Genomic DNA, 18,747 nt, shown 5'->3' on the forward strand with positions numbered 1-18,747 from the left:
TAAAAAAAAAAAAAAAAAAAAAAAAAAAAAAAAGAAGGACAAAAGTCGTGTGCTAAGGAAAGTCCTACATGGAAATCTGTCTTTCTAGCATAATTACTCAGTTGCAATGCATTACGAAAAAAAAAAAAAAGAAAGAAAGAAAATGAAGGAAATTACATCCATAGGCACAGTTTGCCACAAATAGCACCAGGTCTAGATTAATGAGGACAGACAGATGTCCACATCTGTCCACATAGCTGAGAACCATGGATGTTGACTTTGAGTCAACATTACTCCATCCTCATAGTCTGGCCAAGAAAATGGAAGTCATTGGCCATCTGGAGCACCAAGAGTTAAATGTGCCACTGACGAACCAGAAAAGGAGAGGAGGCAGTGAAGGACTGCAGAGTGGATATTAAATGGCATTTTAATTTTTATTAGCATACTTGCCGGCCTTGAAATACTCCTGCCTAGGTTTCTCCTTCCAGGCAGGGAGCCACGTCCCACGTGGGAATGGGGAATCTGTATCTGTGGCAGGAAGATCTGAACATGGTGTGGGGGATACAGGGGCACAGCGTTCTCTCCAGCCATTGTCCTTCCTGACTTTAGGTCTGGGCTGTACAAGGGAGGTCAACTGGCCATGCTGGTGTGAACTTCAGGCTCCCAAGACTTACTTTCCACTGTCCAAGCTGATGGTGACAAGATAGGGAGACCTGGGGCCAGGATCAAAATGGCTCCCTGTGCTGGGACCTTTCTTCCCAAACCTGGACCAATGCTTCTCTCAATGACAAGAGGCTGCTTATTGGGTGGGGTGGGGTCCCACCCAATAGCCTCTGTGATATACTTACTTCCTTGAGCTGGAGGTTTTAGCTAAAATAGGTTTTCAAATTCTGATGCTTGTCTATACCAAAAGTGATGCTCCCAAGTTCAGTATAAGGAAAATAAATGATTCCTATCACCTTCCAACAATCTGAATTATTTACCCAAGTCTACTTTTGCTGTGTGGAAAACAGGGCCAAACAAAAGACTTCTGCCAGAAGAGTTCTCCATTTGCAAGGAGGCTTCCCTAGCCCCTTCATGGGAACAGAAAAGCCACCTCACCACCATCTCCCTTTCCCTGGATCTCCTCTTAGACTATTTTCCACCACACACCTACAATAACAGACGGGAGTGTCTGGGAGTCTTTTCCTGTGGTTCTAGGACAGTGGTCTCTGCCCATTTTGCTGGCTTCCATGCCTCTGCCTTTCCATTGATCTAAGGTTCTTAGTGCTCCAAGAACCAGTCCAGCAACTGTACTAGGTGAAGTCGAAATGGCAATGTGCATTCTGAGCTGCTAGGAGTGGGAAGTGAAGATTTTGCTCTTAGCCTTTACACCTTGGGAATTTTCATTCAGTACTTTCCTCCCCTCTCAGCTTTATCTATGGGCAAAGACGATGTTTTGCACATATGAGGTGCTCAGTTCAATTAATTAAGAATAAGGACTTCTTCCCCCATCCAAAGGGTGCATTAATTACATAGCGTGTCATCAATCACACGCATAAGGGCTCTCCCTGACCTGTCACACAGGGTGTCAATAAGCAATACCTGTGTAGTTTGAGGGTGATCAAGGGCAAGGTACTTTCTAGCCCTCCCCCAAAACTTTGGCTAAGTCACTTCCACAGAGATCTTCCCCAGAGAGATGGGGGCTAGAAATCAAGTCATTTCTATTCTTTTAGGTCGAGACTTTGGTTAACAGGAGGTGGTCATGAACCTGCATCTAGGAAGGTCCAGCTCACAGGCTTTCTCCTTAGCCTATAGTTCACTACAGATGATTTTTAACACCAGCAAACTCCAGAGTAAAGGAAAACATGGTATGAGCTTTGGAAGCTGTATTCTACTCACTCGGCTCTTCTCAGGATGTAAGAACTAACCGTGAGGATTAGATACATGGAGGCAAAGGGAAGAAGGAAGGAATCCCAGCTGGAAAAGGTGAGTTTCATATGGTGACTAAAACTTCACACAGTGAGCAAACTTCCTGTCCTAGTGAAAGTGGAAGAGGAACAGGGGCACCCGCCATTAGCTTGGAGATGCCACGTTCTCAACCTTTCCTTGTATAGATGGATGCTTGCTCAAGCACAGTTTCGGCATGGTGGTGGGGGGAAATATTTGGAATCTCAAAAGTAATGATGTTTATGACTCTGCTTCCTGAAAACCCGCAAATACATACACAGACATGTTTGTCAGACAGCCAATGCTCAGGGTGGACAGGAGCAGTGAGACTATTTTGCTAGCCCTTTAGGGAAAATTACAAATTGTATGTACTCAAGGCTTTGAATTACCTGAGAAGTTCAACTAGTTTTGCTTTAGAGAGCATCAGTTAGCAGCATCTTCAGCCTTACGGAGTGAACATGGAAAAGCTTCTCGGGAGAAAAGTATCCAAGAAAAGCTAAGCAAATCCCAAAAATAATGCCCATGAAAATCACCGTCGTTATGAGAAGAGAGATTGGATTCCAGTCTCCCAGCCTCTGCTGACTGCCTCCCTGCGGCAGGTGGAGGGGTTGAGAGAGCCCGTGACCAGGCGCAAGAGAAGCCCAAAATGACCCTGCGGGGTGAAGTCAGTGAGGCCAGAGCCAGGACCTCATGGCCCGTTCTCAGGCACACACAGAGCCGGAAAGTGCTGGAAAGCTCAGCCCAGCTGCAGGGAGAAAAATGGATTTCCTTTAAACAACAAACCACCGTGGCAGCCCCAGACATCAGGAAATGACAGTGACACCCAAGGGGGCTCCTTTCTTTCTTCCCCTTCTCTCTCTCTTTCCTCGCTTCCTTCTTGCCTTCTTTCCCTACTCCCCAAGCCCCCAACTTTTTTTCTACAACAGATGTGTATTTTTTTTTAAAGTAAAAGAAAACCACCACGCCAAAGGCAGGGTGGCATCATCAACCCTTCCAGCATGGCACTGTCCTCTTCCCATGTCTTTTTCCTAATTCTTTCTTCCTACCCCAAAAAGCCAATTTTCTGTTACACCAGAAAAACAAGACAAAAATTTTTCTTAAAAACATGTCTTGTCACAAATGAGTCCATGTAAGGAAAAAGATAATGAAAACTGTGTACAACGGGGATCAGGGCTGGAGATAAGGGGTTGTGGAAGCTGGAATATACTTGGCCATCGTAGGGAAAGCAGAGTCAATTTGCTGCCCTCACTACTGGGGCTACCATGCCTGGGGAAGGGAGAAGAGATGGAGGGGAGGAGATGGGACGGATGGTGCTGGCATGACCGTCTGGAGCCACTGGCCGCACGCCACACCCTGAGTGTCAGGAAACACAGGCTGTGCATGTGTGACAGTTTAGAGGAGGGGATCCAAAGCTACCTCTGGGGATCTGGGCTTGAAAGGGTTTCTTCAGGCTTGGACAGACCCTGTGATTGCCTCACACCTGATACCAGGTCTTCCAGGTGGACTCTTACGAAGCCCCTGCCTGGATCGGAAACATCCAGAGACCATGGATCCCAACACTGCAGGTGGCCTCCCTTGCTCTTCCAGCCAGAAGAAGAGGCTTAGAACCACACTCTGCTCCAGAAAGAAACTTAGGGTTCAGCGTGCCCCGCTGCATGAGCACCTGCTTCCTCCAGCTCACCTGAAACGCTCTTTTCCCACATAACCAAGTATCGTGTCGCTCCAGGTCATGCCAATTCTGTCCGAGGGCAGAAGGGGCTCTGGGTGGCTTTGCACGCTGTGGGCACCTGGGTTTCTGCTGAAGTCTGTCTGGAGGACTCCAGAGTTGTCAACGCTGCCGCTCCTGTGGGGAGGTACCCAGAGCTGCCGAAAAATGCGTTCTGCCTCCCGCAAAGCAGGACTCCCTGCAGTGTCCCCTGTCTACTAGAGATGCCAGAAGGACTTCATATTTAGGCAGAGGAGACTCTTTCCCCAAGTCCTCATGGCTTCAAGGGGCCAGCCTCCAACTCGCCTGCAGAGATTGGTGGTGCAGGGGAGCTGGACAGAGCAGGTTTGGTTGTCACTGGCCAGAGATCCTGGCAGCCAAAGATCATCTACCACTGGCCGGTCTCAGAGCGGTAACGTCCAGGCTTACTTGTCCACAGCACATTCCCCTCTCTTTCCCTACGGGGGGACTGCTGCGCTAATGGATCAGATGTACTCAGTGTGATTCAAATTCCAGAACTTCTGGGGAGTTGTTTAGAAAGCTGCTTCCTGGGGATCCCAGGTTGTTCTGTGAATCTGCTGAGAATACTGGTAGCAACTAGAGAATCTCTCAAGACCCCGTAGAACCCTGCTATTGGCTTTCTGTCACTTACGGAGGAAATGAAGGCATAAACCAGCTCAGGGGTTTCTTTATGACCCTGTGCCTGGGAGAAAGGAAAAAGCCATCTAGACTAGGTCGATTTCAAGCCCGGCAAGAGCCCTAAACATCAGAATACTCTGTTGCATCAAACTGTTTCAGCCCTTTAAGAAAAAGATACATATGCATATATACAAATAATATGCCCAAGACCGGCACATTTATGTATCTCGATGGATCAATAAACTTTGGATGTAGTTATATGGTCATGCACTCCTCTGTTCTGCATAACTCACAGCAATTTCATAATCTCAGATCATCTCAGAGTTCGTGTGGCTTTCAGCTCTCTCTCTCTCTCTCTGGCATTTAAAAAATCAATGTAATTTCAAACACAAACGAAGCCATCAATAATGAGCAGGTGCCATGAGGTTAGCGGTTAGCAGGGGGGAGATGTGAGCAACCACATCACAGGGATTGTTGTTATTTTGAAGAGCGGATGCCCTAGACAGCCCAGCCGCTGGGAAAACAGCATTCTGAGTTACTGGCCCACATTGGCTTCACAGGTTATCAGTGAGTGTCCCAACTGCCTAAGTAACATCACCTGTTCTCTCCAGCCCTCCACTTCTGTAAAGGCTCAACTAGGACCCAGGGCCACGCCTTTTAAAGGCACATGGATATAAAAAAAGGAAGAAGCAGAGCCTGTCCTGGGTTTTAGGCAGGCTAGGCCCAGGGCAATTCTGGAGGCCCTCTCAGTGGGAGTGAAATGACAGCTCCTGCAGGGGTGGGGGCATATTTGGTGGAAGCATGCAGCAACAGTGGTGTCAAGGCAAGTGAAAAGGCTGCAGTGGTTGCATTTGGACAGACAGCTCTGACCTGAAGCAATGTGCATGGAAGCATAGGCCTCGAAGAAGGCAGGCCTTTTGGAATCAACGTTGGGGGCCACTCGTGAACACAGGCTGGAGAGGGGCAGAGACGTGGCTGAGACGCTGAGGATGATCTGGGCAAGTTGGCAGCACCAAACTGAGGCCCCCCTTTCCTTGAGCCCAGGGTTCGTTGAAAAGAAAGGAGCGTAGCACCTCAGCACTACCTCAGCTGCCTAAGGAAACTCACCACGGGCCTCCGCAGTCCCATGTCCAAGGTACAGGCCACCATGGACCTCTGAGTCTCACGTCTCTTCTAGCAACCAAACAGCAAATCAAATCACCTTCCCTTTCTCTCAGTCCTTTCTTCCCTCTGAAAGGAAAAGAAAATAACTCTCTTCTTTCCTTAAAGGCTGGCATCATACAATGATTTTCAAAATAACAAGTGGCTTCTCTCTGGTTCTAATACACAGAGGAAGCCCCCACTGGCTTCTGAGGATGTTCTTCTGTGGCAGAAAGATTTCTGAGGATTCAGGGGGACTGCCCTAGGAATACTGAAAGGGCATTCCTAAAGCTAAAAGGCTCTGGGAGCATTTCCAGAAAGCTTCGATTTGGGGCTGGAATTCCAACCTGCTTAGTGCAGTAGGTAGTTTGGCTCTTTGTAGAAATTTGTGAACCTCCAGCACGGCACTGTACACATCATCTGAATCCTTTGACGTGTGCTACAGTTTAGAATCCAGACTTGGTTCACTCAGTATGTTTGGGAAGGGAAGAACTTTTTGCACATGGAAAAATGAATGAGACATTTTAAAAGGCTTTGCTTTATGTGAGGCAGCTAAGAAATTGAAAACTCCTCCCACCAAAAAAATAAAAAAAAAAATGGCAGTCGCATGTTTTGATTTGTTTTCGAGTAAAGACCCTTGTCTTTGGAAGCCAAGACTTTCCAGCAAACAACAGTATACCAGACTCTCCAAGGAAACCAATCAACCCCAAATCCCCAGCTATTCCAGGACAGCATAAGTGAATTGTTCTCTGGGTCTGAAGACAGAGGAAAAAGGCTATGGCAAAACTGAAGCTGAGCCTAGAAGGAATAACTGAAATAATAGAACCATATGTGCTGGTCACAAGGAACTTTCACTGCTATTTGCCTTCATTTTCCCACAAAGGAAGCAGAACAACCAGTATTTGTTTGCTTCCCACAGGAGCATTCTCTGATGGAAGCCAAAGAATTTAAAGCCCTTCCTTCTTGTCTAAATATTTGAGAAGGAAAGGAGAGTAGCTTTTCTGGGGCAGAAAGAGAACTCCTTTCTTGACCCACATTGAGACAACTCTGTTATTCTGTCCTCTTGGAATCTTTTAAAATATATCCATTAATCAAAAGAGAGTGGAGGAACTGGATCATATTCCCTTCCTCCACTGCACCTTGCACACAGTAGATGCTCAATTGGTGTTTAGATTTTTAAACAGGAAGCAAGCCTGATCACCATAATACTTTTATCTTCAAAGCGCTTTACCAGCCATGATTACTTAATCCTCACAACACCCCTGTGAGGTAGGTCAACCATATTCTTCCCATTTTACAGAAAGAGAAATTGGCCCTAAGAGTGACTTGACTTAGGTCTGTAGAAGGATAGTCCTGGATTTTTTACTTCCAATAACATGATCTGTTCTTGAGAATGTGCCTCTCCTTTCTTTAGATATTTTCTCTGAGCCTTTTGTTTAAAAAAAATGCTTAAGCACGTCACTCCGTAAAATCAATTTCCTCTGTTTGAAAAGAATACGTTTTTCTATTTCTGCCCCAGAGAGTATAGGAAGGAATGCCTAGATGGCCGCTAATGTTCTCCTCCCGCATACTTCTGGAAGCCTTCCTCTTCGTCACCATTCTTCCTACCCATCTACTGAGTCCTGTTGTTCCCCGTGGCTCCATGTGTCCATCTTCAAAGTTCTTGTTCTCAAATTTGGGACAGTTCATTCACCATCCATCCCAGTCAAAAGCGGGTGCTGATGAGAACGGAGAATCAGGTATGAGGTCTCATGTATTCTCTCCTTTTGTTACTATCAGAAATACCTTGTGGAAATAAACCATCCCAGCAGGACTTGACCTATCCACAGAACAGTCAGATGCACGGTCAAGCACAAGTCATTCGTGAATTCCAGACTATGATCTCGTCCCTTGTGCTGTCAAAACAATAATATTAACCTCAGAGAGCAGGGTCAGAGCAGGAGGGAAAGGAGTTCTGGTCAGGGCTCCGCTAGGAATGAGCAGGAGGCGTTGGCAGCAGCCACCGAGACCTGCTCATGCGAGCTCCATCTCATTTAGGGACAGTTCCAGGAGGGGCATTTTTTTCTTGGTGAGAATTTCTATATCAAAATACACCTGAACTCCAAGGAAAAGGCCAGAGCCAGGTTGACTGATGCAGAACAGTTGAAGCTTCTGGAATTTTTCTTTCCAAGAAGGTTCTCGGAGCTGATAGAAAATCAGCCTCACGGCTGGCCCCCCTGGAACCCCAGTGCCTCCTGGGCTCCCACCTGCCCTCACTCCAGGTTAGGTCCTAAGAAAAGCAGAGGCTCTCAGGACAGGTCTGTGTTCTTGCTCAGAGTGTATCTTGGTATTTGAATTGATAACAGTCAAACCATAGTCAAAAGAAAAAAAAAAGGAAAGAAAAAGAAATTCAATGTGACATTTCCAATTCGAATTATAAGAAAAAAAATACCTTGTTTTAGAAAAAAAAATTAGTGCTATTCTCCAGCCCTGTTTGTCTCTGAATCCTTGCCTGCAGGTTCCGCTCAAAGCACACAAGGGAGGGAAGAAAACCCACCATTGGGACCCACATTTTGGCAGATGGAACAATTGTTTAAAAAGAAAAAGATTCGGTGTTTTTCTTTTTCTGTACTCTGCAGAGAGGGAAAGAGGTGAGTCCATTTGATGAGGTGAGCATCAAGATTGAAAAAGATTGTAAGGAAGAACAAAGGTGAGAGAGATTTCCTGAAGAGCTTGCAACCACCTTAAAAACAGTCTCTAAATACTCTCCATTCACTCCTCTTGTCTGCCCAAAGCGCAATGAATATCAGTGTTCAAATGCATCCTTCCATATATTCTCTGATACCTTAGGAAGAATTAACATCAGGAGATTTGGTGTTAGAATTACAAGTGGCCAGCTCAAGATAGGTGACCAAGGGTCACCTGACCAGGGTACCACTGACCTGGGTTCACAGTGCTATGAAGTCTCTAAGAACTACAGGTATGTGAGACTCCTCCCTGTCCCGCTGTGCTCCCTGTTCATCCTGTGGCTTCCAGGTGCCACTGCCCCTGGAAAACACTCTCTCCTCCTGTGGTTCCATTTCCCAAGAAATGAGGTCACCACTTTTTCTCATATGACAGCTTTGCTATAGGCAACAATGACGAATCCTCCAAGCATCCCTGAGCAGGAGAGAAGAAAGAGGTTGGCCTTCTTTCTCTCCACTTTACAGATGGAGAAACCAAGGCACCGAGAGGTGAAGTGAGTTATCCACGATCACAGTGGGGACCGTGAATCAGCCTGTGACATTTCCTGATCTTTCTGGGTCTAAAGGAAAGCCCCTAGGAAGTCTGTAGCTAAAACAAATCTCCCGGGCCCACTCTAGCCCAAGGATCCCAGAGCTATGTTGAAGATGGACAAACAGACCAGGGGAGCTCATCTAACAGATGATGGGTTGTCTGTATCCGCCGTGACAGATGGCCAAATGTGCTTATAGAGGGATGTGCACTGGGTTACCAATTGGCACTATACTAAAGGGAAATTATTTCTTTGTCCTCATTGGTTTGAGAATGATTTTTAGCAGTAGTTGGGGTCCTAGGATTTGTGTTAGGGATTCACAAGGGCAGCATCTCCTCCTGGGACCTGCGCACTGTGCTGCATGTGATGGGCCAGCCTGGGGCAGGTGTCCCTAGGTCCTGCCTGCTCATTTCCGATGTGGTCTATTCTTAGCCCTTGACACAAGGTGTTGGCCAAGAGCAGGGGGAACTCCCACAGTGGTCCGTCTGCTGCCCTCGGGAGTTGTCATTAATAGCACTCACGACCTTTGTCTCCAGGATATATCAGCCATGGCCTGCCAGCCAGTGCAAGGAAAGCCACAGGAGTAAGGAGCAGATGGTGCCAGGGAGAGCTGAACAAGGCAGACAGGACCAGGCGAGCCAAGGAAGGAGTCTGCAGCAGGATCAAGGCAGCACCTTTGTCTTCTGATATTTGGCCATCAGCACAAGATGCAGTGTTTCAGCAAGAAGTGAAATGTTTAGAATAGCTAAGAATGGGTGAGAAAGGGGCTTGTGTTGCCACTGCAAGAATTCAGATCAAGCATCATCCTTTTTTTCCCCAGTGAAGAGGGATAGAAAAAAATCTCTGGGAGGGTAGAGTTGCCTTTTTGCCTTTTTACATGTTTTGAAATTGGAACAGACGCACATTGATTGAGGATGCCGGGGGAAGTCCTCTTGCAAGCTCATGGGTTTGTAACCTGTGATTGGCTGGCCCCTGCCATTTCCATGTTCTGGAGGTTGAACTGTGGGTGAGAATGGAATGTTGCTTCTACGACAATGGGCAGTTTGGGCTGAGGAGAAAGGGACAGAAGTTTAAAGAGTTTCCCATTGTGCTCATCTCGTTCTCAGCCGGATCTTGATAAGAGGAACCAACATCGATTTATGTTCACTTCCTAAGGGGTAACTGTGTTGTGCTTGATGAGCGGGTCTGCCCAACAGGGTCTAGTGACGAATAAATATTTGAGAGAGAAATGAATAGAACTGCTCCCTGTAAGGCTGGTCCAGCCCCTGGGGTGAGCCCACCCCTCTGGGTCCTTCCATTTCACTCCTGCAGGGTCTTCCCCAGGTCTCCTTTAAGCTCCTCCAGATTTCCCCGATGGTTTCCTAGTCAACAAAGATAGTATCACATGGATTTTGGTGAAATTAATTGCAATAAGCTCTCTTCTTTTTACAGTATCCAAATTTAAATCTCAACCTCCCCAACCAAATCTGATTGTGTTAATATTTTTCAGTTTGGCAAAGAAAAAATAGATTTTATCTTCTTGGTAAGAAAATCAAATTAAAGGTACACAAGGAGATTCCCCTCCTTCAATCATGAAGCCACCATCCAGAGCAGCTGTCATCACACATACAAGGCCTGGAAGGGCTCGTTTTGAGTAAGGAGCCACTTTTCTTGGCAAAGAAAATGCTACCATCTGTGCCAAACGAATGCTAGGTGACATCCCCAACCCAGCTCATCCGAGCGAGCCAGGAGCATGAGAATATGGCCTGCCTCATTCTCTTCTGGGAGCTGATATCCTTTGCTCCAAGCCAAAGGCTCTGAGCCTGCACACTGTCTTGCTCTTCTTGCTCTGTCCCTGGATCATGGAGAGAGGACCCTGTGCTAAGGTCTGGGGGCATCAAAGCTTGGGGTTGGTTCTAGCCCTCCCATGAGCAAGGAGCAGACCAGATGGGAGAAGGAAGGTGGTGTTTCCTCTATCTAGCTTGCGGAGACTGCGAAGGGGTTTAGATGTGCAAGAACAAGCAAGGCTGTGGCCCACCCAGTGCAGCTTCAAACCAGATCCACATCAGAGACCTTCTTTTCTGCCCCTATGACTGTGCAGTGGGAGGGAATAAAACTGGAAGAAGAATGGAGAAAATGATGTAATTTGGTGCTTTTCTAAAACCTGTAAATTCTTTCTGAGAATCAGGCTCATATCTGGACAGGGTCAGACATCTGTGGCATGAGATGCCCCCGAGCCAGGGGAATCACCTTCATGACCACGGGCCAGACAGGATCATGGGACTCAGAGGGGCCACGGCTGGGGAGGGACTGGGTTAGAGCCATGAGAACCATCGGGTCTTGAATGATTCTGTGCCTGGGGAGGTGTGGTGTGGGGGATCCCCAGGCCATGGGGAAATGTCGTCTTCCCTGCCCAAGGCTGTGTTGTGACGGCGGCATGTCTGGGCAAGGGAGATGGCGCCTCTTTCGTTCTGGCCGCAGATCTGCTTGGGTGAGTGTCCTACCAGTATCCTGGTACCCATGTTGCTGGGACAAGCCCGACCCTGCAGAACCAGGTGACACCTTCCAGAGGCAGAGTGCAGGAGAGTGTTAGAGACACGGGAAGCTTTAGGGTGAGTGAGGCCAGAGGGGGTTGATCTGATGGACTGAAGCCTCCCTAGCACCCCTCATCATGGCCTTAAGAGACAGGGAGCTCCCATTCCGGATGTCACAGGCTTCAGGCAGTGAACTCAGGGCACATTATCCTAATGTCATCTGAGGGGACTGAAGTTTCCTTTTACACAGAGGCTGGGAGAAGAGGCAGACCTGCTGAGCAAGGGAGAAGCAGAGTTTGCAGAAACGACTCTAACACCATTAGTTATAGTTTAGCGATACTACCAAATTTCTGGGAAGAAAAAGTAAAAGCCAAATGTTCTACGTGGTTAGAGGAATAAAATACGGGTCTTAGTGGGCATACTTGATGGGGGGGTCATTAGGGAATGAAAAGGAGATAGTTTTTGTATTCTCCATCTCTGGGCACCAACGTGCTTACCAGGCCTAAATACTGGAAATGGATTATTTTTCATCAGGGGGTCCTGGGAAAGAAATGGGCCCAGAGATTTAAAATTTTTAAAAAACCTAAAAACATCACAGGCATTCCTCTGGGAAGCAACTGAAGCAGCAGCCCTAGAGGGTTGTCAAGGACTGAGGCAAATGAAAAATATGGGACATTGGGCATTTAATGTCCAATGTGGGACAAAGAGTGACCCTGTCACGGGGCGGCCTTAAGGATCCGGGCTTTCAGGACCAAAGTCATCTGGGTCTGGAGACACATTCCCCAGGTGGTCTCAGCACTGAGTGTGTATGGAATCCTGCCTGGATGCCCAGGACCAGTCACTGGAAGGGGAAGGGCCTGGGGGGAAGAGAAGACCCCAGGGGAGATGAGGCCAGAGAGTTTTACGGTGGCTGGGAGTGTGGGGAGCTGCTAGAGGCTGATGACAAGAGGACACTGAGGACAGCTCTGGCCTGGTCCTTGCCATCAGGTCTCCCCTGCCCCTTCCCTGCCTTGCTCTCTACTTCTTTCCTTGCTTTTCTTCCTTTTCCTGCATCTCTGCAAAACCAGCTTTCCCTGCTGCTGCTCACAGATGCATATTTTCATTTTCTTTGTGAAGAAAGTACTGGCATGATGGAGGGGTTCCAGAGAGGGGCGAGGGTGCCTTTTCAAGTGAGAAGTGTGAAATTAAAGATTGCTGAAATGTCCCGTGATCTCCTCATTTGTTCCTAGTGGCTAAGACCCTGGAGGCCCTCCCTGATTTGGAAGTTGCCATCCCAACTCCTGGTGCTCCCGGTCAGCTCAGCATCCACCGTTCTCTTTGTAAGTTGCATGTAAACGTGGCAGGATGCACACACACGGACACACACACACTAAGTGTGCAAGAGTGAAATAGAGGTGGTGAATTAAAACCCGTGACTGCGCTGAAACAAAAAGAAAGAAGAAAGAAAGAAATCCAAGAACAGACACACAAGCAAAAGTGGCAGAAGTCCCGAGGGGATGCATGAGGGCATTTCAAGGAAGATGCGCAAAGGACAGACATGGGCCAGTTCCAGGTGCACAGAGCCCCAGACCTGAAGCAGACAAGAGGTGGGACCCCCCCAGCTAAAGCGGATGCCCCACCCTCCAATGGCCTCACCTTCCCAGCCTAGCAGAGTACACTGTGCAGCTCAGGCGTGAAGCCCTTGCAAGGCAGCACGCTGGTGCGGTTCAGAAAAGTGCCTCTGACTAGATTCCAACTCCCAGGTGACTCTCCAGGGGCCCACGGGCGGGTCCCTTTAATGGGCGCGCCGAGCCCTCCTGGCTGGTTTTCACTGCTGCCTGCGTGTGCTCTGTTCGTCCTGCTTCCTAGAGTTGGGGGCTCCTCCTCCACCTGCCCACCAGTGAGGCCCGAGGGGACCCCCGAGTCAGGGACGGGGAGAGGACAGCACCACGATGCTTAGTAAGGACGCATGAAGTCTAGGAAGTCCAGACAAAGAAGAGAGCATAGAGTTTCACAACTGATATTTGAAACTTGTTCTTAAAACAAAAAAGGTTTTAGATAAACAATGAAGGTGGTGGGAAGGAGAAGCCTCGCTGAATAATAATTGTTTTTTATTTAAAAAAAAACAAAACTCCACAAACATTTAAAAAACCCTCAGTTATTGAACTTCTGTTGAGAATAGTTCAACGTGAGGTCTTGCACCCTAAACAGGTATATATTTGGGAAAAAAAATCGCAGCTACACACAGCAAAGACTAACAGTATTTACTTAAAAATATTGTGTGTGTTTATATATATATATATATATATACTTATTATATATCTTTTTTGTGATTTTTTTTCTTTTCCTTTTTTTTTGTGCCCAAGTAGAGATACGATGCGATTGAAACGATGCCCTAGAACAGAAATATTCTTTAAAGGAACAATACTTTGAAAAATAAAAAAAAATTTAAATCGTTGAACATACTTGCAACACCTGCAGAAATTCAACTTGATACAATGAGAAAATAAACAGTGGAATCAAATCCTCACCCAAATGGCATGGCCTCTAAGGCCTGCAGTCCGCTGCTGGTGTGAGTCTTGCCACCCAAACCAGGGCTCGTGGGCAGGCAGCATCACTTCCCCACCACTCCAGAGCCCCCGCCCCCATGCTCTGCTGAACCAAGCCGTGATCCAAGTTCGTCTTACATCAGTTTTGTATATCTCTGGCAAGACTTTGCAGCAGGGACACACACATATATACGTGTGCTATGGGCACACACACACATACACACACAAACACACACATACTACACACACAAAATTTCCCATTCAACCCAGATGCACCAGGTGAGCTGAATGATTTTCAGCCAACCACAATGGTGAAAGACAGAAGCACCAAACAGTCTTTGAAATGGGTCAGTTATTACAATTTTGACTTTTTATATATATGTATATATATATATATATTCTAGTTTTCCTCTTTGTGTTATTTTTTTTTTTAAAAAAGCACAAATGAAAAATGAAGAATTCTTTCCAGATCAATTTAAGGCTTCCCACCAAATGGAAACAGAAGAGGCTTTACACAATATCACATGTGATAAATGTCTACCATTCACAGCCTTAAAATGATGGAACTAATCGTTGTTGCCAGTCACTGATTAAGTATTGTGCCTTTAAACTGATGTCGTTCTTTTTGCTACTATGCTGAGTTTTATTATTACTGACTATGTGTACAGAAATCTCCTTTAATTTGCTTTAGAATATCCTGTCCTTACCGAATTATTGCGGTGGCTTTTTGTTTTGTTCTGGTTTGCTTTTCACTGGGAAACGAATGTGATTCTTGCTAGGCAAATGCTAAAATGGCACATAATCAGCCTTCAAGTAGCTTCTCCAGCCATTTGAGTTTCAAACAGCCCTTGAGCTCCTAGAAGGCTCTGCAAAGTGGGGAGAAGGTCAGGAGAGGAGGGGGAGAAACTGAAAAGAGGGAGGGGTTTATGCTTTTGCTTTTGGTAAATTTGTTTTCTTCAATACAAATAATCAGATAGGAAGAATAATTGCTTTGTGTTGTATTTGTTGGTTGGTTTTTGTTTCACTTTTAGATTTGTTTCATTTAATTGTTTAATTTTCCCTCTTCTGGTGCAAAAATCACCAGAGAGTTTTGCATGAGAAAACGTGACAGTACTTAATGAAACTCAGCACCTAAGGGCATAAGGCAGTTGAAGGTTTTTTGTTTGTTTGTGTTTGTTTTGTTTTGTTTTGTTCTTTCAATCAGCACCAATCCCATAAATGATCTACACTTGGTGTAAGGTAAAAAACTTTTTTTTTTTCTTTTGGAGTGGAGATAACTCCTCCTTCTCCACCCTATGAACCATAGCGTGGGATTTTTCAATACTGTTTCTTATGTGTAAAAAACAAAAGAAAGGTTTTCTTTTTGTTTTTACTTACAAAACATAGAGAATATCTTTGTATACATACAGCGACTGGAAAGAAAGCTTATTTGAAGGGGTTGTGACTTATTAATTCTTTTTTTTTTGTAGTGGTGGTGTTGGTGTGGCGGTGTTGGTGGTGGTGGCGGTGGTTCTGTGTATTGGGGGAAGGGAGGGTTATATTTCTTGCAAGTGCTGTTTGCCGCAAACCAAACTTAAGGTCCCCTTCTCAACTTGGTCAAGATGCTCTTAGAGTGAAGACTCATACTGTAGCAACTCATAGAGGAGTGGTCCGTCTCGATATCGAATGCCTACTGCGGTGGGGGTGACATATTGTAGAATGTTAATAGTCCTTCTCAGCCTCCTGTCTACAAAATGAGCATCCCAAGCTGGGTATCGCTTTCTTGGCATGTCAATCTTAATGAGGGGCCCTTCTGGGAGGTAAGGACGCCCCAACGGGGTAGGGGGCCCCATGGGTCTCACTTGGAAAACAGGCAAGCAAGTGTCAGCCGTGAGATCCTCCTGTTGTTCCGTTACGGCTCTGGTGGGCGTAACCTGGGTCCCCCGGTACCCAGGGATCTCAGGCGCCATGGGCTCAACATCGGGGGGCAAAGGGATGCCCCAGAGCAGCTCGGCACAACAGGAGCTGGCAAGGATCTTAGCTCGTGGTCCTGTGGGATGCAGCACGCCATAGTATAAGAGCATCATTGCGATCCCAGCCACAAAGCTAATAAAGACACAACACAGTGCTGGCACCGCATAGGAGTCAGTGGTCTCCGGGTCTCTGTAAAAATACCAAAGGAACGTCAAGGCAGCATTCTCGGTCAAGACTATCGTATAATATGCAAACATTCGATATCGAGTCCGCCCTTCCTTGACGTTAAACCAGCAGAAAATGTACACGATCCCTACCACCATGTTGAAGAGGATCTCCTCCCACTTGGACATGCAGAAGTCTGTTCCGCCATGGATGATCCAGAAGGCCATGGCGCACCAGTGAACCACCACGAAGATCCCAAAATAGAGCTGGAAGATGGAAGCAAAGAGGGCAAAAGAGATCACTCGGGATGAGATGGTGAAGAGGCGCCAGAAGACCTGGATGATGGCCCCTCTGTAGCTCATGCTCTTCTTGTCGTCCCTGGAGTCCCGCAGCAGCTTGTGATAGGAGGCTAGCACCCAAGCCAGGGACATCAGGGAAGTCACAGAGGAGACACCTGCCGGAAAGACACAAACCCACACAGTCAAAACCTTGGACATCAACCGCAGGGCACAGTGAAGCTGCCGGCTGAGGAGACGCCCACATACACCACGATCTAAAGGAGGAGGGAGAAAGAAACACAGAATCAGGAACCGAACTTGGAGGTCACAGCTGCTCCCTACGCTGACAACTTGGGAGATGGAGCTTTTGTTTCAACAACCCCATTTGCCATTTTGGGAGCTCAGTAGCTCAAGGGTGATACTGAGCCAGTGTGTTTTGCTAGGGGGCTGAGAGGTGGGGCCACGTCTGCCATGGGCAGCCCTTTGTGGGTTCCGCCTTAAGGAATCATGCGATTCTTGTGGCACACAGATGTGCGGCTGGCATTGGCGTCGCTGTCACCAGCAGCCTGTGCTCTCAGAGAAGCCCACAGGAGGAATCGCCAATTGTGAAGACCAAGGGTTTACCCACCGCCCTGAATTCCACACTGTTCTCCTCTGAGGTGCTGGAATCATGCTTCTGCCTTTTCCTCACCTCACTCAAAGTCCCAAAAGGCCCTTTCCTGAACCTTCTTCCAGTTAGCTTCTCCCTGACCTGCCACCCAAGGCCAACAAGATCCAGGACACTGGGATATCCCGCCCATTTCACAGACTTCCTCTCTCACCCACTCTGGTCTTTTCGGCCTCTCCACAATCCCTGTTGCTTTTTCCAACCGACTGCTGCTCAATGTGCTCTTAAGCCTTGACTTTTGAAGCTCTGTCCTTCTCTGGTTGCCCTCTGGGTTCAACATGGTATCACTTGGGCTTTGGGGGTGCCTCTTCCCCTTACTGGTTTTCTGAGGCTTCCAAGGCCTCTGCACTTTACTCCCTGCATTTCCTCCCACAACGGGCAAATATTCACAGAGTTTGAGTGTGCCTAATCCCAAGTCATACTCATATTGCCATAGAACAATTTTATATCCAACTCTGACTACTTGATATTTGCAAGTAAACCAAATGAAACACAATCCATTGTTACTGAAGTCTCCCCAAATCCACCCATGAACAACCAGTCATTATTCGAGTGCTGTCATACAATCTCCGTTTAAGCAAGATTTCCCCCATCACCAACCCCCAACTCCCCGTGCATCAGTTCCACAGTCCATCTGGGGCCTCTTTTGCTGGTCTTTTCTCCCAAAATTTCACAACTAAATGTAAGTAAATGCAACAGGAGGCCGAATGCTGTCCCACTGGCAACGACCTCCTTAGGAAAGCTTTACCCTCCCACGGAGCACAATTCCCCCCACGACATTCTTCCAGGTTGAAATCAAGGTTACCCAGTGATTTTCTCCCTTAAGCTCAAAGATCAGATACAGAAGCCCCATTCATCAAGACACTGGTTAAACTTCCCCAGACCACCAGGCTTCTGCTCGTCTCTCCCCGGGACCTGCCCAACTCCCCACAACTCTCCGAAGCCCGATGAAGAATCCGAGTTCTCTGCCACGTGACACTCTCCCAGCACTGGCTCTGCGTCACCCGTCTCACAAAGGTCCCCTCCTTCCATCATGTCACATGAAGCTCAGAGTCCTAGCTTGCAGAACAGTATGGTGCAATAAAAAAACCTGTTAACTGTTACAATGGGCATGTGTGACTCTTTCATAGTAATAACAACCATGGAGATTTGAAACAAACAGGGGCAACACGATCCCAAGTTCTCCATGGAAATCTATCTGGAAAACATCCAAAGAGCATTCATGGCAATTTTCCTTTTCTTTTCTAGAAAGTTCTGAACATGACACATGTCCTGCCTCACTTGTGGTACACACAAGACATCTCATGTGTGTCTGCAGTGGCTGCACATGGTTGGTCAGGGAACCTTTTAGTGCTCACATTGTCTGTTAGGGTGCAGCAGGGAGAACTCCCCTTAGGAGTAATGTGATGTAGGTTGCAGATTTCTGGAGGGCAGAGGATGTGCAATTACCTTTTTTTTTTTTTTTGAGACAGGGTTTTACCCTGTCGCTCAGGCTGGAGTGCAGAGGCATAATCATTGCTCACTGAAGCCTCAACCTCCTGTGCTCAAGTGATCCTCCCGTCTCCCATACATGGGACCGCAGGCATGCTCCAGTGAGCCCAGCTAAGATTTTTATTTTTATTTTTTGTAGAGACAGAGTTTCTACTTCTTTTTTTTTTTTTTTTTTAAGATGGAGTCCCACTCTGTCACCCAGGCTGGAGTGCAGTGGCATGATCTCCACTCATTGTGACCTCCACTTGCCAGGTTCAAGTGATTCTCCTGCCTCAGCCTCCAGAGTAGCTGGGACTACAGGTGCACACCACCATGCCTGGGTAATTTTTGTATTTTTAGTAGAGACAGGATTTCACCATGTTGGCCAGGCTGGTCTTGAACTCCTGACCTCAAGTGATCTGCCCACCTTGGCCTCCCAATGTGCTGGAATTACAGGCATGAGCCACTGTACCCAGCCTAGAGACAGAGTTTCAACACATTGCCCAGGCTGATCTCGAACTCTTGGCT

At 47.1% G+C, this 18,747-nt stretch overlaps 1 protein-coding gene across 2 annotated transcripts in view; it reads right to left on the minus strand.

Moving 5' to 3' along the window:
- Positions 1–13,386: 13,386 nt before the first annotated feature.
- The window catches only part of XKR6 (XK related 6), a 305,789-nt gene continuing 300,428 nt past the window's right edge, over positions 13,387–18,747 (minus strand). Inside the window, exon 3 of one of the 2 annotated variants that reach the window (NM_173683.4) lies at positions 13,387–16,258. In NM_173683.4, coding sequence (NP_775954.2) covers positions 15,294–16,258 — 965 coding nt within the window. In that variant the 3' untranslated portion in view covers positions 13,387–15,293. Of the gene's footprint in view, positions 16,358–18,747 lie in introns of both variants that reach the window. The other variant, XM_024447129.2, reaches the window with a different exon arrangement.

This window comes from Homo sapiens, chromosome 8, assembly GCF_000001405.40.
Source record: "Homo sapiens chromosome 8, GRCh38.p14 Primary Assembly".
In the NCBI taxonomy this organism is placed as follows: Eukaryota; Metazoa; Chordata; class Mammalia; order Primates; family Hominidae; genus Homo; species Homo sapiens.